Consider the following 23,753-nt stretch of genomic DNA (forward strand, 5'->3'; position numbering starts at 1 on the left):
CTCATCCCTCCACAATAAACCTCTCCCTCTGCAGGCTTCCTGCTGTCTCCTCAAATCTCCTAACACTTGGCTGCCCTGTCCCCATAGTCAGCTCTTCCCTCTCCTGCTCGCTGTGCTAAGTGAGGAAGTGCAGTTTACCGCACGGTGGGGCCTGTCTCCGGAATCGCGTCTAGCTGGCTCCCTGCTCTATCCCTCCCGAACAGACACTCAGGAAAATAGCTGAGTAATGACTGACCAACAGGGCATGAACAGGCATCTACGAAACAGTCATTAAACCATGTCCACAGGCAACTGGACACTATCCAAAGGTTGATAATTAATGTTCCATGTCAGCCTAAAACATGGGCTCAGGTGAAGGGCCACTTAAGTTTCTAGAAATTATTTGGGAGAAAACATACAAAGCTGGTTTATCACTTGCCACATCTGTGAATAAGAGACTTCAGATTGCTAATATGTAAGGTAATAAGCTTCAAAATTATCCCAACATCAGCCAGACTGGTGCTGCGGATGGACTGTAACCCGTATAAATTTCAGGTTCAAAGATTCAGCTACAGGAATATAGAGTAGGGAGAACAGACTTGATAAAAGCAGCCAAGTGAAAACAGACCTGGTGATTTTAGCTGACATCAGTCACACTGAGGCTAAACGCTTGTCAGTTAAGGATGAAGTAAAAGACTGTCATTTTTAGTGGGAAGTAGAGCTAAGCAGTCCCAAATCTTTTCTATAATGCTCTGTTTTCATATTCACAGGCAGAAAAGTCTGTTCGCTAATATGAAAAGATAGTAACATTAAGTCCAAATTTTATTAAAATGGATCCTTTTATATGATTCCTTGCACATGCCAGGAATATCCCAGAGTAATACTTAAAACATTTCCTTACTATAGGCCGGGCACGGTGGCTCACATCTGTAATCCCAGCACTTTGGGAGGCCAAGGTGGGTGGATCACCTGAGGTCAGAAGTTCAAGACCAGCCTGGCCAACACGGTGAAACCCCCATCTCTACTAAAACAACAAAAAAATTAGCCGGGCATAGTGGTGCATGCCTGTAATTCCAGCTACTCAGGAGGCTGAGGCAGGAGAATTGCGTGAACTCGGGAGGCAGACACTGCAGTGAGCTGAGATCGCACCACTGCACTCCAGCCTGGGCAACAGAGCAAGACTCTGTCTCAAAAAAATAAAATAAAATAAAAATAAAACATTTCCTTACTACAAAAACAAAACAAACAAAAAACCAAAACACCATGCCACCGTGATTCATCTCTACACAAGCCAGGGCCCCAGCAGCCTGCAAGCCAGGAGCCTATTTGGCTATCAGACAATAAAAACAGACAACAAAAACAAATTAGAAAGCTTCCAAGTATCATAAATTTGGAATTCCAGTTCCAGTTAATGAAGTAGGTACACTCCAGCCTGTCTGTCCCACTGAATGCTGCTATCAAACTGGAAACAATGCACAGAGCAGCTATTTCAGGACACTGAAAAACAAATCAAAGTAGGCAGATGGTGAAGATGCCCAGAGTTCAAAGCACCACAGAACCAACAGTCAGGCTCCTATTTTTCCTCCAGTGTTCCCCAGCTTAGACTCTAAGGAGCCTCAAACCCAGAAAAACCCAGAAAAGAGAGCCTGGTATAGATAGGGAGTCCAGGACAATCCTCTAGTTCTGGCCAGAAAAGTAGACAGGGGGATTTTCCTAACACTCATAGACATTGAACACAATCCTGGGTTTTATTTTCCTTTTAACTTTTTTTTTCCTTCATTCTCACTTAGATTTCAGACCCCAGACAACCCTGAAGTGTCAGAGGCAATGCAGCAGCAGGAGGCTACAGATGTCCACAACAGAGGAGTCGACTCAGAGGAACCCGAGTTCTTAGGGCATGAGCGAACCCCCTTGCTTTCCCCTTCCCCTGTCCTCCCACCATGTGGCCTAGGACATGGACACAGCTGTGGAAACTGTTCAACAGAGTAGGGTAACTAAAGAACCAGCTTTTGGGACACAGACCCGAAAGAGGAGTTCTAAGGGCTGGAAAATACCAAGGAACTGGCAGAAAGAGGAAGCAAACCCATAAAGTTCTATAAACTCCTGTTTATAAATCAAAACACCAAGCCCATAAAGCTTATAAACTCCTGAGCTCACCCAAAGTTGTATATATATGTGTATCTGACCCTAAACAGTGCAGTAAAGACGTTGAGAATGAACTATGGGATAGCTCACCACCTAGGTCCCAGACTGACCACTGGGTGGCATATACCGAGCAAAGATTCAAATAGCATCACAAAGGCTTTGAAACAGAATTGATATTGAACCTTCAACCCACAGAAGACTGACCAGAACTTCTCACTTGAACCCAGCCAGGTTGATTGCTTTCGAAAACAAAACAAAAATCAACATTCTTCATAGGATTTAAACAAGACCAGAGTCCCATAACATAATAAACAAATGTCCACGATATAATTCTAAATTACTTGGCATACAAAGAACCAGGAAAATCTCAATTCATATGGAAAAAGACAATCAACAGATGCCAATGCCAAGATGACACAGTTGTTGGAATTATCAGATTGTAAAGCAGCTATAATAAAATAACCCAAGATTAGCCAGGCATGGTGGTATACCCCTGCAGTCCCAGCTAATCAGGAGGCTGAAGCGGGAGGATTACTGGAGCCCAGGAGTTCAAGGTTACAGTGAGTGATGAGCTACCTTCTGCTATCCAGCCCATCCATTTTTATTTTGGATACTACGTTCTATGGTTCTAAGATTTTCATTTGCTTTTTTTTTTTTTTTTTTTTTTTTTTTTTGAGACAGAGTCTAGCTCTGTCGTCAGGCTGGAGTTCAGTGGTGCGATCTTGGCTCACTGCAACCTCCGCCTCCCGAATTCAAGCGATTCTCCTGCCTCAGCCTCCCAAGTAGCTGGGATTACAGGCAAGCGCCGCCACACCGAGCTAATTTTTGTATTTTTAGTAAAGACAGGGATTCACCATGTTGACCAGGATGGTCTCAATCTCCTGACCTCGTGATCCACCCACCTCGGCCTCCCAAAGTGCTGGGATCACAGGTGTGAGCCAACACACCCGGCCCATTTGCTTCTTTATATCTTCTATTTCTTAGCTGAGACTTTCTGTCTTTCTATTTGTTTAAAGAGTACGCATCCCTACTTCTTGGATTATTTTATATAAAGCTTAGAACAGGCCAGGTGCAGTGGCACATGCCTGTAATCCTATCACTTTGGGAGGCTGAGGCAGGCAGATCACCTGAGCTCAGGAGTTTGAGACCAGCCTGGCCAACATGGTGAAACTCTGTCTCTACTAAAAATACAAAAATTAGCTGGGCATGGTGGTGGGCACCTGTAGTCCCAGCTACTCTGGAGGCTGAGGCAGGAGAATTGCTTGAACCCGGGAGGCAGAGGTTGCAGTGAGCCAAGATCGCACCACTGCACTTCCAGCCTGGGTGACAGAGTGAGACTCCGTCTCAAAAAAAAAAAAAAAAAATTTCAGATAAAGGAAAATGAAGAGAACTCATAGCCAACAAATCTGCTCTAAATGAAACGCTATGAGGTTCTTCATGGAGAATGGAAATGATACCAGAGGGAAACTTGGAATATCAGTAGTGAAAGAAAAGCAACAGAAATGGTAAAAACCTCGGTAAACATAATATACAATTCTTCTCGAGTTATTTCAAGTATGCATGATGGTTAAGAGCAAAATCTGTAACAATGTTGGGATTTCAATGTATTTGACAACGAAAACAAAGTAGGAGGGTAAAGGGACCTATGTACTTGCAAGGTTTCTGTATTTCATTCTAAGTAATGAAATGTTAATTATAAGTAAAGTGTACAATATTAATGTTATAATTATGTGTATGTATAATGTAATTCGTAGACCAAACACTTAAAAAAAAAACTATATAAAGAGATACTAGTCAAAACTCAATAAATCAATTATAATGAAATACTAACAAATATTCAAAGACTCCAAAAGAAAAGAGGAAAGGGAAAACAGGAACAAAACAGAGGGAACAAACAGAAAATAAATAACAAAATGGTAGGTTTAAATTTAAGCATACTAATAATTACATTAAATATAGGCAGGACATGGTGGCTCACACCTGTAATCCCAGCACTTTGGGAGGCCAAAGCAGGAGGATTGCCTTGAGGCCAGGAGTTCAAGGCCAGCCTGGGTGACAGAGCAAAACCCTGTTTCTCCGAGAGAGAGTCTCCCTCTGTAGCCCTGGAGTACAGTGGTGCAATCACAGCTCAGTGCAGCCTTGACCTACCGGGCTCAAGTGATCCTTCCACCTCAGCCTCCCTAGCAGCTAGAATTACAGTTACATGCCACCATGCCCAGCTAATTGTTTTGGTATTTTTTTGTAGAGACAGGGTTTTGCCACGTTGTCCAGGCTGGTCTCGAACTCCTGACCTCAAGCAATCCATCCACCTCAGCCTCCCAAAGTGCTAGGATTACAGGCATGAGCCACCATGCCTGGCCAAGACCCTGTTTCTTAAAAAAAAAAAAAAAAAAAAAAAAAAATTTAATTAATTCAAAAGGGATCATAGATCTAAATGTAAAATGTTAAACAATAAAATTCAGAAGAACACATAGGATAAAATCTTTATAAGCTGAGAATAGTTTTTAGACATGACACCAGAAGCATAATCCATGAGAAAAAAAATGGATAAAATTTCTTCAAAATTAGAAACTTGGTCTGGGCACGGTGGCTCACACCTGTAATCCCAACACTTTGGGAGGCCCAGGCAGGCAGATCACCTGAAGTCAGGAGTTCAAGACCAGCCTAGCCAACACAATGAAACCCCATCTCTACTAAAAATACAAAACTAGCTGGGTGTGGTGGTACATGCCTGTAGTCCCAGCTACTCGGGAGGCTGAGACAGGAGAATCACTTGAACCCAGGAGGCTGAGACAGGAGAATCACTTGAACCCAGGAGGCAGAGGCTGCAGTAAGCAGAGATTATGCTACCACGCTCCAGCCTGGGTGAGACAGAGCGAGACTCTGTCTCAGAAAAAAAGGCCAGGCATGGTGGCTCATGCCTGTAATCCCAGCACTTTGGGAGGCTGAAGCAGGTGGATCACTTGAGGTTAGGAGTTCGAGACCAGCCTGGCCAACATGGCAAAAACCCGTCTCTACTAAAAACACACAAAAAATTAGCAGGGCATCATGGCACACACCTGTAATCCCAGCTACTTGGGAGGCTCAGGCAGGAGAATGGCTTGAACCCAGGAAACGGAGGTTGCAGTGAGCGGAGATTGCACCACTGCACTCCAGCCTGGGCGACAGAGTGAGACTCTGTCTCAAAAAAAACAGAAAAGAAAGGAAAGGAAAGGAAAAGGAAAGAAAGAGAAAGAAAGAAAGAAACTTGTTCTGCAAAGGAAATTGTTAAGAAAATAAGACAGGCCAGGTGCGGTGGCTCACGCCTGTAATCCCAGCACTTTGGGAGGCCGAGGCAGGCGGATCACAAGGTCAGGAGATCGAGACCATCCTGACTAACACGGTGAAACCCCGTCTCTACTAAAAATACAAAAAAATTAGCCAGGCGTCATGGCGGGCGCCTGTAGTCCCAGCTACTCAGGAGGCTGAGGCAGGAGAATGGCGTGAACCCAGGAGGCAGAGCTGGCAGTGAGCCGAGATCACGCCACTGCACTCCAGCCTGGGCGACAGAGCAAGACTCTGTCTCAAAAAAAATAAAATAAAATAAAAAAGAAGAAGACAAGCCACAGAGTTAAAATATTTGCAACTCACGTATCTGACAAAAGTCTTGTATCCAAAGTATATAAAGAATTCTCAAAATTCAATAGTAAGAAAACAAACTGCCCAATAAAAATTACTTGAACAGGTTCTTCACCTAAGAGATGGCAAATAAGCACAAAATGCTTGATATCATTAGCCATTTTAGGGAAATGCAAAATAAAGCTATTATGAGATGCCACTACACACCTATTAGAATGTTACAATGGCAGTCATAAAAAAGAATGAGATCATGCCCTTTGCAGCAACATGGATGGAGCTGGAGGCCATAATCCTAAGTAAATTAACACAGAAACAGAAAACCAAATACCACGTTTTCACTTATAAGTGAGACCTAAACATTAAACTCCTGTGGACATAAACACGGAAACAACAGACACCTCTGATTACTTGGAGGGAGGGAGGGAGTGAGGAATGGGTGGAAAAACTACCTATCAGGTACTATGTTCACTACCTGGGTGCAATATACCCACGTAACAAACCTGCACATGTACCCCCTGTATCTAAAATAAAAGTTGGGGCCGGGCACAGCGGCTTACGCCTGTAATCCTAACACTTTGGGAGGCCGAGGCAGGCGGATCACCTGAGGTCGGGAGGTCGAGACCAGCCTGGCCAACATGGCAAAATCCCATCTCTGCTAAAAATACAAAAATTTGCTGGGTGTGGTGACACATGCCTGTAATCCCAGCTACCCGGGAGGCTAAGGAAGGAGAATCGCTGGAACCTGGGAGGCAGAAGCTACAGTGAGCTGAGATGGCACCACAGCACTCCAGCCTGGGCACCAGAGCAAGACTCCCTCTCAAAAAAATAAAATAAAATAAAAAATAAAAAAATAAAAGTTGTAAAATAAAATAACAAACGTGAAGGTTTTATAAAGCAATGAACTAGGGACCTGCTATGTACTACATTTCAGGTTGTGATATTAAATGACTCCATTTTCTTTGTAGAAATGTGTCGTCATATGTAATATCACACCTACATACATAAGATGCATTTACACACAGTTCAAAATGCATATCAGCTTCCCTTACATTACCTTTTGATATTAACATATGAACTTTACAAAGTTTAAAAAAGAAAAAAGGGCCGAGTGCGGTGGCTCATGCCTGTAACCCCGGCACTTTGGGAGGCCGAGGTGGGCAGATCACGAGGTCAGAAGCTCAAGACCAGCCTGGTCAACATGGTGAAACCCCGTCTCTACTAAAGATCCAAAAAATTAGCCAGGTGTTGTGGTGTGTGCCTGTAATCCCAGCTATTTAGGAGGCTGAGGCAGGAGAATCGCTTGAACCAGGAGGCAGAGGTTGCAGTGAGCCGTGATCACACCACTGCACTCCAACCTGGCTGATAGGGCGAGACTCTGTCTCAAAAAAAAAAGTAGTTACCATCTTTGGAAATAATATTTCTTCTGTTTTCTTTGCTTTATATGAACCAAAACTTTTCCCTGTTTTTTTGTTTTTTTTGTGAGTTTTTTGTTTGTTTGTTTTGCTTTTGGTTTTTGAGAGACAGGGTCTCACTGTCACCCAGGTTGGAGTACAGTGGCAGAATTATTGCTCACTGAAGCCTCCAACTGCTCAGCTCAAGGGTCCTCCCACCTCAGCCTCCTGAGTAGCTAGGACTACAGGTCACACCACCAACAGAGCTATTTTTTTTTTTTTTTTAATTTTGTGTAAAGACAGAGTTTCGCTATGTTGCCCAGGCTGGTCTCAAATTCCTGGACTCAAGTGATCCTCCCACCTCAGCCCCCCAGAGTGCTGGGATTACAGGCATGAACCACCATGCCCAGCCCCATTTTCTGGTTGGTTTGTATGCTTGATTCTATACAAACTAAGTTCTGCTTATGGCCATTCTGATGCCTTGCTGGTGTTTTGTAGAGTTGCTATGACCACAGAACTTATGGATTGTTTTTGGAAATATCTGTCCATGTTTTTGCTTTTTCTTTACTATTCTTAGAATATACTAAAATTTTTTGTTGATCCTAAAGTAAATATACATAATTTGATTTAACTCCTCATTTTTGGCATTTGGAATGTAATAAAATCTGGATAACTTTAAAGTGTCATAATATTATGAGTAAGATTTGAATTGTTGAACTTGGAAATCTAGAATGTCATATATTTTAGGATCTCTGAGGAAAACAGATGACAACACTTCACTGTCCCTAAATAAGCTTTTGACTATTACCTTAAAATCACCATGAGTTTTGAAGAGTTGAGAAACTTGCTGGTATTTATTTCTTTATATTATTCCTAATAAAATTAATTTCTCATCTGCGTCAACAAAAAGAATATTACAACAGCTTTAAAAAAAAGGACTATGAAGGGCTAGCCAAGAGGCAGAGCGACTGGAACTCCCATGTACTGCTGGGAAGAATACAAAATGGTATAGCTACGCTGGAAAACTGCTTAGCTGTTTCCTGTACAGTGAAACACGTACTCTATGACCCAGCAATTTCACTCCTGGGTATTAACCCCAGTGAGATAAAAACCTACATTCACAGAAAAAAATGGTATGAATATTTACAGTAACTCCATTCATAATCACCAAAAGTTGCAAATAACTCAAATGCCCTTTAACAGGTGAATAAAGAAACTGTGGGACATGCCTACAATGGAAAACTACTCAGCAATGAAAAGGAATGACTATTCATAAAATACAACATGAATGAATATCAAATGCATTACACTGAATGAAAGACAGTCTTAAAAGTACATACTTATGATTCCATTTCTGTGACATTCTGGAAATGACAAAACTATACTGATGAGAAACAGATGAGGTTGCCAAGAATTGGATGTAACTACAAAGAAAGGGAACGAGGAAGTTTTGTGGGTTGATGAAACTGTTGTTCAGTATCCTCATTATGGTAGTGGCTACACGAATATATGTGCATGCTAAAACTCATAGTACTGTACACCAAAAAAAGTCAATTTACTACATGTTAATTAAAAAAAAAAAAAAAAAGAGCATGTGAAGACCACCAACATCCTTGGCATGTGCCCAAACCTCTATAGCTCAAACATTTGCTGGATTTTTTTTTTGAGACAGTCTCACTCTGTCACCCAGGCTGGAGTGCAGTGGAGCAATCTCAGTTCACTGCAAGCTCTGCCTCCCAGGTTCACGCCATTCTCCTGCCTCAGCCTCCCAAGTAGCTGGGACTACAGACACTCGCTACCATGCCTGGCTAATTTTTTTTTGTATTTTTAGTAGAGATGGGGTTTCACTGTGTTAGCCAGGATGGTCTCGATCTCCTGACCTTGTGATCCACCCACCTCGGCCTCCCAAAGTGCTGGGATTACAGGCGTGAGCCACTGTGCCCAGCCATTTGCTGGATTTTTTAATGCTCTCAGAAAGAAAATGGTGCACACTCCTTTATTAGATTTGTTTAATTCAAACCTATATGACGAATTCTAAATCAGCCTTAACTATTTGTTTTAGATTCAAAGTAGAGAATAAAGCCTTCAATTTTGCCACTTAATCATGAAACAAAAATAATGTAAAGAAGGAAACAAAGCAATTTTCAAAATGGCAGCCAAAACAAAAGCAAGAGAGAGTCTACTACATGGAGCCAACCAGAGAGAGGCTAAAGCATAACAAAGCATCATGTTCAGATCTTAGTTGTGTATTTAAAATTTGTGCACTTCGGCCGGGCACGATGGCTCACGCCTGTAATCCCAGCACTCTGGGATGCCAAGGCGGGCAGATCACCTGAGGTTAAGAGTTTGGGACCAGCCTGGCCAACATGGTGAAACCCCGTCTCTACCAAAAAAAAAAAATACAAAAATTAGCCAGGCTTGGTGGCATGCACCTGTAATCCCAGCTACCCAGGAGGCTGAGGCAGAAGAATCACTGGAACCTGGGAGGCAGAGGCTGCAGCGAGCCAAGATCCAACCTGGGCGACAGAGCAAGACTCTGTCTCAAAAAAAAAAAAAAAAAAAATCGTGCACTTCTCTATACGTATATTGCACTTCCATAAAAAGTTCTTAAAAGTAATAATGTAGCCAGGCACGATGGCTCACGCCTGTAATCCCAGCACTTTGGGAGGCCGAGGTAGGCGGATCACGAGGTCAAGAGACTGAGACCATCCTGGCCAACATGGTGAAACCCCGTCTTTACTAAAAATACAAAAATTAGCTGGGCGTGGTGGCACGAACCTGTAGTCCCAGCTATTCAGGAGGCTGAGGCAGGAAAATCGCCTGAACCCAGGAGGTGGAGGTTGCAGTGAGCCAAGATCGGGCCACTGCGCTCCAGCCTGGCAACAGAGCAAGACTCCATATAAAAAAAAAAAAAGTAATAATGTAAATCTGTAATTTCAAAAACCACTCTGCATCATACCCTGAAGCAAACTGTGGTATGTGTAATAACCCATTTTTACAAGTATGCGCATGGGAACAAAGTCCAAAACAATGTAGACCTAACTGTTAATGGGAGTCCTCTCTAGCTGAGGAGAACACCAGTATTTTTACTTTTTTCTCTATTTTTCTACATCAGTCTGACTTTTTAAAACAAGGGACACAAATTTTTTTGTAATCAGAGAGTAAGTTTTTGCCATTTTGGAAAATATTCAAGATAAAAAAACTGATATTTATATTACAGACAAATTTATGTATGACTTGACTGTAAGCTCCTTGACGTAAAGCAGCTTTGTAAGCCTCATACAGTACCAGATTCCCAAAAGACACTTCACCAGATGTGCGGCTGGAGAATGAAGAATAGAAACAGGGAAGCCTTCTCAAAGAGAAGGGCTAACTTCGGGAGTCTCCAAATAGAGGGGAAGGAATCAGGCAAGCGGCACGGGTGGCTGGATGGAAGGAGACCTGTAAGTGATGGTGAAGAGGCCGAAGGCCTCCTGAGATGGAAACAAAGACGGGAGTGGGCCCAGGGGAGACAGAAAATTTGGAAGAGGTGTGAAGGAAAGGGTAGCACTCAGCAAAGACTTGTGATGGAGAGAACAACAATGGTTTCATAGGAAAACATCAGCGGGCTCACTGATCCCTTCTAGAACTAACCATTCCATTCTCATCCCTTATCTTCTCCTCCTCTCCCCTGAACCTCCAAGGAAAGTGACTCCAGACTGTTGCTTACACAGCTTGTCATGCTCAGAATCCTTAGCACACAAGAGGAGTGGGCACCTGACCCAGGGGCACCAACCCACAGGCTGGCCAGGCACCTATAACTTGGCCTAGCTGGGAAAACTCTACCCAAATAGACCATCAGATGCCCTCTGGCATTCAGTGAAATTAGCAACATGATGAGAGGACAGACAGACCAGTAATGAATATTTCAAATATATAATCTCCAGCCTGGGTAACACAGGGAGACCCGGTCTCTACAAAAAAATATTTAAAAAAAAAAATTAGCCAGGAGTGGTGTGGTGGCACACACCTGTGGTCCCAGCTACTCAGGAGACTTACAGAGGATCACTTGGACCCGGCAGGTCGAGGATGTGGTGAGCCATGATCATGACTGCACTCCAGCCTGGGCAACACAGTTAGACCGTGTCTCAAAATACACACACACACACGTATATATAATCTATCAGGATATATTTATAACACATATGTTGGTGCAAAAGTAATTGTAGTTTTTGTCATTAAAAGTAATGACCAGGCCGGGCACAGTGCCTCATGCCTGAAATCCCAGCACTTTGGGAGGCCGAGGCAGGTGGATAACTTGAGACCAGCCTGGCCAACATGGTGAAACACTGTCTCTACTAAAAATACAAAAAAAAAAAATTAGCTGGGTGTGGCAGTGTGCGCCTGTAATCCCAGCTTCTCAGTAGGCTGAAGCAGGAGAATCACTTGAACCCAGGAGACGGAGGTTGCAATAAGCCGAGATTGAGCCACTGCACTCCAGCCTGGGAGACAGATGGGAGGAGACACAGCAAGACTACGTCTCAAAAAAAAAAAAAAAACCTAATGACCAGAACCGTAATTACTTTTGCAACAACTTATATATATATAATATGTATATATTATTATATATAGGCTGATAATATAACCTATGTAATATATAAGTTAGTAACATATCTCAGAAAATGTAATACCTGCAACTCCACTAAACAATCTTTTATTATTCCTCTGATTCTTAAGGGTCACTTTTGAGTTACACTTTTGTTTTTTTTGAGATGGAGTCTCTGATTGCAGTGGTGCGATCTCGGCTCACTACAACCTCAGCCTCCCCGGTTCAAGCGATTCTCCTGCCTCAGCCTCCCAAGAAGCTGGGATTACAGGCACGTGCCACCACACCCAGCTAGTTTTTTGTTTTGTTTTTTTTTTGTATTTTTAGTAGAGACGGAGTTTCATATGTCGGCCAGGCTAGTCTTGAACTCCTGACCTCAAGTGATCCTCCCACCTCAGCCTCCCAAAGTGCTGGGATCATAGGTGTAAGCCACTGCGCCTGGCTTTTTTTTTTTTTTTTGAGACGGAGTCTTGCTCCCATCACAGTGGTGCAATCTCGGCTCACCACAACCTCAGCCTCCCAGGTTCAAGTGATTCTCCTGCCCCCGCCTCCCAAGAAGCTGGGATTACAGGCACGCGCCACCACACCAATTTTTTTTTTTTTTTTTTTTTTTTTGTATTTTTTAGTAGGGACGGAGTTTCACATGTTGGCCAGGCTGGTCTAAAGTGATCCTCCCACCTCAGCCTCCCAAAGTGCTGGGATCACAGATGTGAGCCACCACACCCAGTCTTTTTTTTTTTTTTTGAGACAGAGTCTCACTCTGTCATCCAGGCTGGAGTGCAGTGGCACAATCAGAGCTCACTGCAGCCTCAACCTCCTAAGCTCAAGCAATCCTCCCACCTCAGCCTCCCAAGTAGCTGGGACTACAGGCTCACACCACCATGCTCAGCTAATTTTTTTATTTTTTGTAGAGACAGGGTCTCCCTGTGCTGCCCAGGCTGGTCTCGAACTCCTGGATGCAAGGGATCCACCCACCTCAGCCTCCCAAAGTCCTGGAATTAGACATAAGCCACTGCACCCGGCCCACGTTATACTATTATTTACAGAAAATGCCTCAGTGTGCACACTGCAGATTCACAATGTTGTACTGTACTTTTGTGCAGCTACTTAACAGTGAAATGTGGTTTGTTCCACAGGGCCTCTTAATATGGCATTCCTTAAAGCAAGAGATTGTGTTTCCCACTGCAAACAAGCCAGACAGCAATGTTTTTTACATACTCCTTGCAGTTTACTTACTTTAAAACACAGTATTTTCCTCAGCCAGTGTTCTCTTCTTGGCAGTAACCAAACAGGGGATTGACATTTTATTGAGAACACCACCTTCCTTTGCATGTTTGCAACTTCCGCTCAGGTCCTGAAATAGTCTTGGTCGTGGGATTCTTTGAGGTCAATGGTGGCCAGTCCTTGGTTATCTGAGACAAAGTGCCATGTGCTGTCTTCCACAATGGGGCCATGGCCACTGCATTCCACCAGCCAGTTTTTGCCCCCAAGTTCTCAGAGCAAGGCAGCCAGTGCTCATCAGCCCCTGCCAGACAAGCTTGGTGGGCAGATCCCTCTCATGCCCAGTTGGCAGAGGAGGAAGCACTTGGTTGGCTTTAGGCTAGTGAGGCTAGCATGGAGCTAGGCAGAGCCAAGTTCTCTTTCAGATGCAGTTGGGTCACAGTCTGGTCTGCGAAGGGAGGACATAGGCCTTTGGGACCCAGGGGCCACAGGCTGCACTTGACCAGATAGATGGAAAAGCTGAGTCCCTTTGGATTCATGAGTCCCCAAGATTCCTGAGGCCCAGCTGCTTGGCCCTTCCAAGGCTCCCTCAAAGGCCTGGCTTACTAGTGAGTCCTGCAGGAAACCCAAAGGAACCCAGGTATCTGCTCCTGGCAACTCAGGCCAACACTGCAGAGACAGGGACGGACATGGCCCAGGAGCAGCCCAGATGGTCACAAAGGCCCCTCGGTGCACACACCCAGACAGGGACAACTACAGCGGAAATTCTAACAGGTTATCTGCATTAGTCTCTACTGCCCATCACACAACATCAACTGCTTGACAGATATGCTGATGGTAACTTAGGTTCTCAGTGGAAACTAATTTCCACTGGAATTAGGTTCAAGTGGAATTTCAACAAATGGATGCTCTCATCGAAACGAGTCAGCAAGCTACCTGTGTATCTGTGTTCATTCCGTCATTTGGTGTTGAATACATCATCATCTACAGACCTCACAGAGGACCAAGTGCTGAAAGGTGTTACATATTCTTTTTTTTTTTTTTTTTTTTTTTTTTGAGATGGAGTTTTGCTCTTGTTGCCCAGGCTGGAGTGCAGTGGCACAGTCTCAGCTTACTGCAACCTCCACCTCCCGGGTTCAAGCAATTCCCCTGCCTCAGCCTCCTGAGTAGCTGGGATTACAGGTGCCTGCCACCACACCCAGCTAATTTTTTGTATTTTTAGTAGAGGTGGGGTTTCACCATGTTGGGCCGGCTGGTCTCAAACTCCTGACCTCAGGTGATCCACCCGCCTCGGCCTCCCAAAGTGCTGGGATTACAGGCGTGAGCCACCGCACCTGCCTGGTGCTACATATTCTTTTCTTTACTTAAAAAAATTTTTTTTTTAATTTTTTTTTTTGAGACAGAGTCTCACTCTGTTGGCCAGGCTGGAGTGCAATGGAGTGATCTCAGCTCACTGCAACCTCTGCCTCCTGGGTTCAAGTGATTCTCCTGCCTCAGCCTCCCAAATAGCTGGGATTACAGGCATGCGCCAACATGCCCGGCTAATTTTTGTATTTTTAGTAGAAATGGGGTTTCACTATGTTGGCCAGGCTGGTCTCAAACTCCTGACCTCAGGTGATCCATCCTCTTCGGGCCTCCCAAAGTGCTGGGATTACCGGTGTGAGCCACGCCCAGCCAACAGCCAGAATTTTAACAAAAATTTTTTCCTTTATATTGATCTGATCTGAGACACAATGGTAGACTTTATTATTCATTAAAAAAAAAAAAAAAAAAAACCTGCAGGCCACCTACAGAACTCCATGGAGGCAAAGACACAAAGGAGAAGTTCTGCAGACCCCTGGCCCTGCTGGGCTCCCTGCGACCTAGCAGTTAGTCATTTCTTGTGGGCTTCACTCATTTAACCAGCCTGACAGTCCCTAGGCCCCCAACCCAAACCAACAGCTGAAGCTTTTCCAAAGCATCTAGTGAAGGTGAGACATGGACATGCACAGTGACTCCTCAGCCATCTTTGAGCAACACACCACCAGCAACCACTTACCACCACCTCCACCAGCGCCACACACTGCAGGACCGAACAGCCGTGCAAATTATTTACACACGACAAGTGGGGGCCTGTTTCCCCAGTTCCAGCTCTAAAACCACACTATTTATTTTTTAAATACTTATTTTATTTTTTTAAGATAGGACCTCACTCTGTCACCCAGGCTGGAGTGCAGTGGTGCGATCATAGCTTGTAACCTCGTACTCCCAGTCTCCTCGTACTCTTCCCGCCTCTGCCACCCAAGGAACTGGAACTATAAGCACATGCCACCATGCCCAGCTAAAAAAAAAATAAATAAATCACACTCTAACGGGAATGTAGACAAATTTGCTGTCAAATTATCCTGTTCTCACTTTACTATCATAGACAGTAAGGCAAAGTTATATCCAACACCAGGATTTTGTTGCAATACAAACTTTGGGGCTCTCAGTCAATTAATTGCCTGCCCCAGTACATTCACTTGGGCAATTGCCTGAGTTGGTTAAATACTTGCTCTTTACACAGAACATCACAAAGAGTTGATGTGTCATATACGGTCTTTCCTAAACTACTATTCCAAAAAACGCCTAAGGCTCTTCATAATTCTGTCTCTCCCCATAACCATATAACGGACAAGAAAGATGATCACAAATCACAGAACTGTCCCACATCTTGCCTCACAGAAAGGATCAAACCTCCATCCCTATGGCAGCAAAAGTAAAGCATGGGGAAAGAATGCGACCCTGAGGCTCAGCTCCCAGGGCCACCAAACAACGGGGTAGCTACAGGAAAGTCCCAACTTCTCTAGGGGTCAGATTCCTCACCTGTAAAACAAGGGAGGCGCACAATAACTTCACGATCCCTTAGAGTCTAAAACTCTTGAGTTTCTGACTGGAGCCACCTTGACCCTTCGTTATTGATTTATATCATGTATTCACCTTCAACATGAATTAGTTGTTTCTTTTCTTCCTTGATTTGTGACTTGTTCCAAACTTCCCAACACCATCAAACTGAACTTGGCTGAGCCGGCAAATGCTTACCAAGTGATCACCACTGTGAGCACTTTACAGAAGAAAACTGGGCCTCTGCCATGCAGATGTTTATAAACTTACTACAGTAGAACATAAGTATTCCTTATTATCCAAATCTGTTCAGAAAGCCAGTGCCCAGAGAGTCAGGGACATATGTAATGTAAAATAGTGCTTCATCGCAGGACACCAATCAGAACAGAGAAAAACCAGTGACAGCCAGGTGTGGTGGCTCATGCCTGTAATCCCAGTACTTTGGGGGCCAGGGCAGCTTGAGCCCAGGAGTTCAAGAGCAGCTGAGGCAACATGTTAAGACCCTGTCTCTACAAAACACAAAATTAGCCAGGCGTGGTAGCACACCTGTAGTCCCAGCTACTCTAGAGCCTGAGGGTCTAGGACCACTTGGGACGAGGAAGGTTGAGGCTGCAGTGAGCCATGATTGTGTCATTATACTCTAGCCTGGGAAACAGAACAAGACCCTGTCTCAAAAAAATATATAAAAAAGAAAAGAAAAACCAGTGACGCCAGGCATGGCAGGACCAGAGGAAGACAGGTGGGGGCAGGGAAGTAGGGAAGGGGACATGAGGCCCTGCCTCACCCTGGCCCACTGACTTCTGGGGCATCTGTAGGCTGGGCAAACGGCAGCAGCGGCCTTGCAGCAGCAGCGTGTTATTGTGGGGAACAAGAGCTTCCAGCCAGGCTGAGGCTGGCAGATTTACGTGGAGAGAATCTGAATGGGAAAGTGACTGGACCAGAACCTGGCTAAATTAAGCGCCCATGGACATTTTAACAATAACAACACTCATCAAATGTTTCCCACGGCCACCTCATACCAACCCTATGGTGACAGGTAGTCTTATCTGTACTCCTACTCCTAATCATTCTAGCCTGACACAGGCCCTTAAAGGCCAAGCTGAGGCCTAAAGGGCATGGTCCTAAGTGTAGGTGGTCAAGATTTTTTTTTTTTTTGAGACAGAATCTCACTCTGTTGCCCAGGCTACAGTGCAATGGCATGGTCTCAGCTCACTGCAATCTCCACCTACTGGGTTCAAGTGATTCTCCTGTCCCAGCCTCCTAAGTAGCTGGGATTATAGGCATGTGCCATGATGCTCTGCTAAGTTTTATATTTTGGAGTTTGGGTTTCACCACGCTGGCCAGGCTGGTCTCAAACTTCTGACCTCAGGTCATTTGCCCGCCTCAGCCTCCCAAAGTGCTGGAAGTACAGGTATGAGCCACCGTGCCCGGCCTCAAGATCTATTTTCGTGAAGAAAAGTGACCAGGGTCAGGTGTGGTGGCACGTGCCTATACTCCCAGCTACTCAGCAAACTGAAGCAGGAGATCACTTGAGCCCAGGAATTCAAGGTGCAGTGAGCCATGATCACACCACTGTACTCTAGCTTGGGCAACACAGTGAGGCCTCATCTCTAAAAACAAAAGAAATGAAAAGCAAAGCCATCAGGGGAAAAAGAGAAAAATGAAAATCCAGAGAGGAGAGCACAAAGCCATAAAGAATGCTCCTCCAGCAACCCGGAGATGCAGGGCTCCCCTCTCAGGCTAGAGGAACAGAGGAAAGGGAGAGAAAGAAACAAATGAAATTGGGAGGTTCCAACATGATGAGCTGGATAAAAATCCAGCCCCCTCTCGCCACATAGTCCCCATTTCAACATAAATTGTGAATGCTTTCGAAATGAACCAAAAATACCAAGTATCTTTGATGGAAAACTAGGCCTTGTTAGAACATAACTTTCCAAGTTATCTGATCCTATGGTATTTGCACCTTTCATTGTCCTTGAGCTATTTGTAACTCTGTTAAACTGTACATAACTGACAGCAATGCAAATGATCCTCATCTATAAATAGGCAAATTAATTCTGTCTGGTGGAGAGACAATTGATTCAACTCCAAGCCAGAGTTGCATGTATTTGAAATTGATTTCATGGAACATGTGTGTGCATGTGTCTGCTCTTTGAATTTTCCTTTGGCTGGTTGTAATGTCCTACTGTTTCCCTCATTAATTAATAAAATACTTTACATTTGTATGAGTCATGATTTTATCTTTAAAAAATTATTCTTTGGCCAGGAGCAGTGGCTCACGACTGTAATCCCAGCACTTTGAGAGGCTGAGGTGGATCACTTGAGTCCAGGAGTTCAAGACCAGCCTGGGCAACATGGCGAAACCCCATCTCTACAAAATGTACAAAAATTAGGCATGGTGGTGCACGCCTGTGGTCCCAGCTACTTGGGGGGCTGAGGTGGGAGGATCACTTGAGCCCAGGAGACAGAGGTTGCAGTATGTCAAGATCATGCCACTGCGCTCCAGCCTGGGTGACAGAGCAAGACTCCATCTAAAAAAAAAAAAAAAATTATCCTTTAATATCTACAAACAAGTTAAAGTCCAAAACAAGTGCCAATACTCTGTATTCGCTGTTCTAAGAAGTAAAGAAAAAAATTCTAGGTCAATAATTCATCCAACCCCAAACACTTTGAAGTCTGCTGGCAAGAAGGATGACAATCAAGTCTCAATTTTCACTTCTTTACCCCGCTCCATGGGAAAAGATGGCTTCCAGCTTCCTCATCACTTTTACTGGTTCTGATTTTAGCAATTCTTAAATTTTATCAATAATCCAAGGAGAAAGAAGAACTGAGGGCCCCCCTTCTCCCCTGACTCTGAGAGATGTGACCCCTGAATTATGCAAAAAGGGTTCTCTTGAGGCTGGAGACCCCCCCAGGAGCAGAGCCAGCAGAGGGGAAAACAGAAACGGACCAAGTCAATGTAAGATGGGACTGATGAGGCCGGGCATGGTGGCTCATGCCTGTAATCCCAGCAGTTAGGGAGGCCGAGGTGGGCAGATCACTAGAGGTCAGGAGTTCGAGACCAGCCTGGCCAACATGGTGAAACCCTGTCTCTACTAAAAATATAAAAATCAGCCGGGCGTGGTGCTGGGTGCCTGTAATCCCAGCTACTCGGGAGACTGAGGCAAGAGAAACGCTTGAACCTGGGAGGTGGAAGTTTCAGTGAACTGAGATCACACCACTGCACTCCAGCCTGGGTGACAGTGCGAGACTCTATGTCAAAAAAAAAAAAAAAAAAAAGATGAGACCGATGAGTGATGCTGGAGCAATGCTCACAATCCGCCTAATGGTTACAGAAACAAACTCACACGGGGGCTCTGGCCTTGGAAGGTAGACTGCACAGCTCCCCACCAGCTAGCCAGTTATTGACCCCAATAGGCTTCTGTTTCTGCATCTGTAAAATGGCAACATTAACAGTGCCTGCCTGATAAGCTTGCCATGAACGTTAAATGAGGTAACACAAATAAAACACTTAGCAATCTGGCACATAGCAATGCACACTTCAGTGCTACCTTTAGTATCATTTATTGATTGAGAAATGAATTTAATGTACTGTAAACTAAAAGCAAGAAATATAATAAATCATAACTGCCGGCCAGGCACAGTGGCTCATGCCTATAATCTCAGCACTTTGGGAGGCCAAGGCGTATGGATCACTTGAGGCCAGGAGTTCCAGACCAGCCTCACCAACATGGTAAAACCCTGTCTCTACTAAAAATACAAAAATTGGCCAGGTGTGGTGGTGGGTGCCTGTAATCCCAGCTACTCGGGAGGCTGAGGCCCGAGAATTGCTTGAACCCAGGAGGCAGAGGCTGCAGTGAGCCGAGATCACACCACTGCACTCCAGCCTGGGTGACAGAGTGAGACTCCATCTCAAAAAAAAAAAAAAGGTCGGGCATGGTGGCTCATGCCTGTAATCCCAGCGCTTCGGGAGGCCAAGGCGGGCAGATCACGAGGTCAGGAGATCGAGACCATCATGGCTAACGCGGTGAAACCCCGTCTCTACTAAAAATACAAAATATTAGCCAGGCGTGGTGGCGGGCACCTGTAGTCCCAGCTGCTCGGAAGGCTGAGGCAGGAGAATGGCATGAACCTGGGAGGCAGAGCTTGCAGTGAGCCGAGATCGTGCCACTGCACTCCAGCCTGGGCAACAGAGCAAGACTCCGTCTCAAAAAAAAAAAAAAAAAAAAAAAAAAACCATAATGGCCACCTCCACCTCTTAACTCTCTCTCATTTAGTTATGTCCTTTCCATCTCCACTGCCAAAAGACCAGTTAGTTAAGCCTTCTTTTCTCACTGGATCTACTCAAAGTCTCTGACCAGGTCCTGCTGCAATAATCTCACCCTTCTCAAAGCCATTGCACACACCTTCTAACCTAGAAATATCCAACAGAAATACGTAAGCCACACATGCAACTGAAAATTTTCTAATAGCCATATTTTAAAACGTAAAAAAGTAGAATTTGGATAGTATATTTTATGCAATCCAATATATCCAAAATATTGACCAGACACAGTGGCTCACACCTGCAATCCTAGTACTTTGGGAGGCTGAGGCAGAAGGATCACTTGAGGCCAGGAGTTCCAGACCAGCCTGGGCAACACAGTGAGACCCTGTCTCTATAAAGGAAAAACAAATGAAAAATATTACTTCAATATATAATCAGTATAAAATTATTAATGATAGTTGACATGCTTTTTTTCCTATTAAATCTTTTTTTTTTTCTTTTTTGAGACCGAGTCTTGCTCTGTTGCCCAGGCTGGAGTGCAGTGGCCTGATCTTGGCTCACTGCAAGCTCCACCTCCCGGGTTCATGCCATTCTCCTGCCTCAGCCTCCCAAGTAGCTGGGACTACAGGCACCCGCCACCACGCCCAGCTAATTTTTTTGTATTTTTAGTAGAGATGTTAGCCAGGATGGTATTGATCTCCTGACCTTGGGATCCACCCGTCTTGGCCTCCCAAAGTGCTGGGATTACAGACGTGAGCCACCGCGCCCAGCCTTCCCTATTAAATCTTTAAAATCCAGGGTGTATTTTGTATTTATGCATATCTCAATTCGTACCAGCCACATTTCAAGCGCTCAATAGCCACAGTTATAACTGTTCCCCATCTCTTTTAGAAAAATCCAATTTCATCAGGCTAACAAATCGGCCCCTCACCAGCCTGGGTCCCCCTCATCTTGCCCCATTTGTCAAATCACTTGCCCTTCCCTTCCATACCTTTGCCTGGTGAACCACACTTGACTCACCTCTTACCACGCCTTTCTGGGCTGGACCCTAGCACCTGGGATATTCCTTTGCCACAGGCACACCCTCCTTATTCCAGGCATTGGCCATTCAGCATCTTACAGCAATGTGCCCCTTTCCCAAATGGCCACAAGTGCTTCCTGCCAAGCCCACTATCGCCAGGCCTCTATCACAGCCCCTGGCTCAGGTGGTCCAATGGTTTGTGTACTTTTGTCTGCCCCACTCCAAACCCTTACTCCCAAGAGCTCTGGGAGCTCTTTGGAGGCAGAGATTTTTGTCTTATTTCTAATAGTACCTGGCCCACCCTAGGCACTCAAATGTATATAAAGTATGGATTTTTTAAAAAGGGGTGAATGATAGCATTTTTACTGACATCTAGTTACTGATCTTGATTTAACTTTCAAGTTATTTAGCCAACACTTAATCTCAAGTTATACACATTTCTAGGGCTTGGCCTGAAAATGGGTGAAAGAAAGTAGACAAGCTGAGGAAGCAACTACCCCTGGAAGAGCCATTGTTTCTGGGTTGTTTTTCTTTTTTTTTTTCCACTGGCACAAAAATCTTTTAGCCTTAAACTGTTTTTCACAGTGGTGCTGGAATAAATGGGAAACCACAAAAATGAAGGCTTCCACTGCACCAGTCATCAAATCGCAGTGGCAGTAAAGAAAACATCCAGAACTATCCACACTTGATTAAACTTTGAACATTTTAAGTGTTTATTAACTCATTTAATTCTCAAACTTAACCATTCATTTGAAATTGTCAACAACAAAATGCTGGCTTAACAGTATTTCCCATAGCCTTCTCTAGCCTTCACTGAAGATCGCCAGCCTCCCTTTGCAGGCCTCATGGAACGGTTGTTCTTTTATTTTAATCAGAAAGCTTTAAAAAAAAAATCACTATGACCCTCAGCTTCAATGCCAGTTGTGACTTTTTCTTTGCCTGAAAAGTGTCTCTTGAAAGATACTTGCTTGACAGATACAAGCCTCTCTCTTTCTGAATGTGTTAATCAGAAAGCAGACAACTTCAATAATAATTACAGAATCCTGGTTTTCATTTTACACTTTTCTAGGCAAAAAGATTGGCAAAGCCTCTTATGGTTTCCCCAACTTTTACAAAAATCTGTCTCCTAAGCAAAATCTTCTGTTTCCTAGTAGCAGTAGATAGTCTACTTAAAGTTAAAAAAAGAAAAAGTAATTACGATGGCATTTTATTTCCATAGTTTCTCTCCAATATTTTCCACCTCAAATAGAGTCTAGTTGTGTGTGTGTGTGTGTGTGTATATATATATATATATGTATATATATATACGTATATATATATATACATATGTATATATATATACATATATATATATATATAAATTTTCCCCATGGATTCCATGTTTTCAAAAACTTGACCTTACAAACTACATTAATAACCCATTTTTTTCTTTTCTTTTTTTTTTTTTTTTTTTTTTTGAGACGGAGTCTTGCTCTGTCACCCAGGCTGGAGTGCAGTGGCGTGATCTCGGCTCACTGCAAGCTCCGCCTCCTGGGTTCACATCATTCTCCTGCCTCAGCCTCCCGAGCAGCTGGGACTACAGGCGCCCACCACCACGGCCAGCTAATTTTTTGTATTTGCAATAGAGACAGGGTTTCACCATGTTAGCCAGGATGGTCTCGATCTCCTGACCTCGTGATCCGCCTGCCTCGGTCTCCCAAAGTGCTGGGAGCTACCACGCCCGGCCCATTTTTTTTCTTTTATTAAACAAACACATACATTCAACTGTCTATTCAACACCTATGTGCCAGACCCTGGTTTAGACACGGGATACAGCAGGGAACTTGAAAGCCAAGTCTTTGCTCTCATGGAGCTGACCTTCCAGCTGGATGGTCAATGCTCTGGAGGAGAATCAAGCAGGGTGACAGGGGTCAATAGTAAGGCAGAGTGGGGTGGGGGAGTGTTCTATTCCAGATGTGGGGGGATAGGGAAGGTCTCTTTTGAGCGGGAACCAGAAGAACAGAGCCAAGTGGGAATCTCTCTGAGCCTATTCCGGTGCAGGAGGCTGCCTAATTTAAAAAATAAAAATAGCTAAGCGGGCATTTTCAGGAAGAGAGTGAGGGATGAGAGAATAAACCCTGAGTGCAAAGACGAAGGCAGGTGCATATTAATCAAAAGCTTACTGAAAGCTCCTGATCAACCTGAAGTAATCGGTATTATAAAATTCCAGCCAGAGGTAAGAAATTTTACCTCATTCTGCTTAATGTAAGCAGAAATCTGCCTTATTCTGCTTACTGTGGTTTAGAGTATAGACTGTTTGAAATATAATTAGTACCCAGGCCCTCTTTTTTTCGTTTTTGAGACAGAATCTCCCTCTGTCGCCCAGGCTGGAGAGCAGTGGCATGATCTCGGCTTACTGAAACCTCCACCTCCCGGGGTTCAAGCAATTCTCCTGCCTCATCCTCCCGAGTAGCTGGGATTACAAGTACCCACCACCAAGCCTAGCTAATTTTTTTTGCATTTTTAGTAGAGACTGGGTTTTACTATGTTGGCCAGGCTGGTCTCAAACTCCTGACCTCAAGTGATCTGCCTGCCTCAGCCTCCCAAAGTGCTGGGATTACAGGCATGAGCCACTGCACCCCTCAGCCCTCTTTCTCTCAATCCCCCATTACTACCTTAATAAAC

The 23,753-nt window shown here is 44.3% G+C and overlaps 1 protein-coding gene across 6 annotated transcripts in view, besides 2 other annotated features; it reads right to left on the reverse strand.

Annotated features, from left to right (window-relative positions):
* The window catches only part of CMTM4 (CKLF like MARVEL transmembrane domain containing 4), a 98,566-nt gene that overhangs the window by 62,586 nt on the left and 12,227 nt on the right, over nucleotides 1–23,753 (reverse strand). The window lies entirely within an intron of this gene.
* Nucleotides 14,167–14,370: a silencer, noted in NCBI's record as "fragment chr16:66708833-66709036 (GRCh37/hg19 assembly coordinates)". NCBI's record gives its function as "represses an EF-1alpha promoter that drives an FKBP-Casp9 reporter gene in an ReSE screen in HepG2 liver carcinoma cells {active_cell/tissue: HepG2}" and the evidence as "EXISTENCE:reporter gene assay evidence [ECO:0000049][PMID:32094911]".
* Nucleotides 15,945–16,446: an enhancer, noted in NCBI's record as "H3K27ac hESC enhancer chr16:66710611-66711112 (GRCh37/hg19 assembly coordinates)". NCBI's record gives its function as "activates a minimal SCP1, AML or CMV promoter by ChIP-STARR-seq in primed H9 embryonic stem cells {active_cell/tissue: H9 hESC(primed)}" and the evidence as "EXISTENCE:reporter gene assay evidence [ECO:0000049][PMID:30033119]".

The sequence above is a fragment of the Homo sapiens genome, chromosome 16 (genome assembly GCF_000001405.40).
Source record: "Homo sapiens chromosome 16, GRCh38.p14 Primary Assembly".
Lineage (NCBI taxonomy): Eukaryota > Metazoa > Chordata > Mammalia > Primates > Hominidae > Homo > Homo sapiens.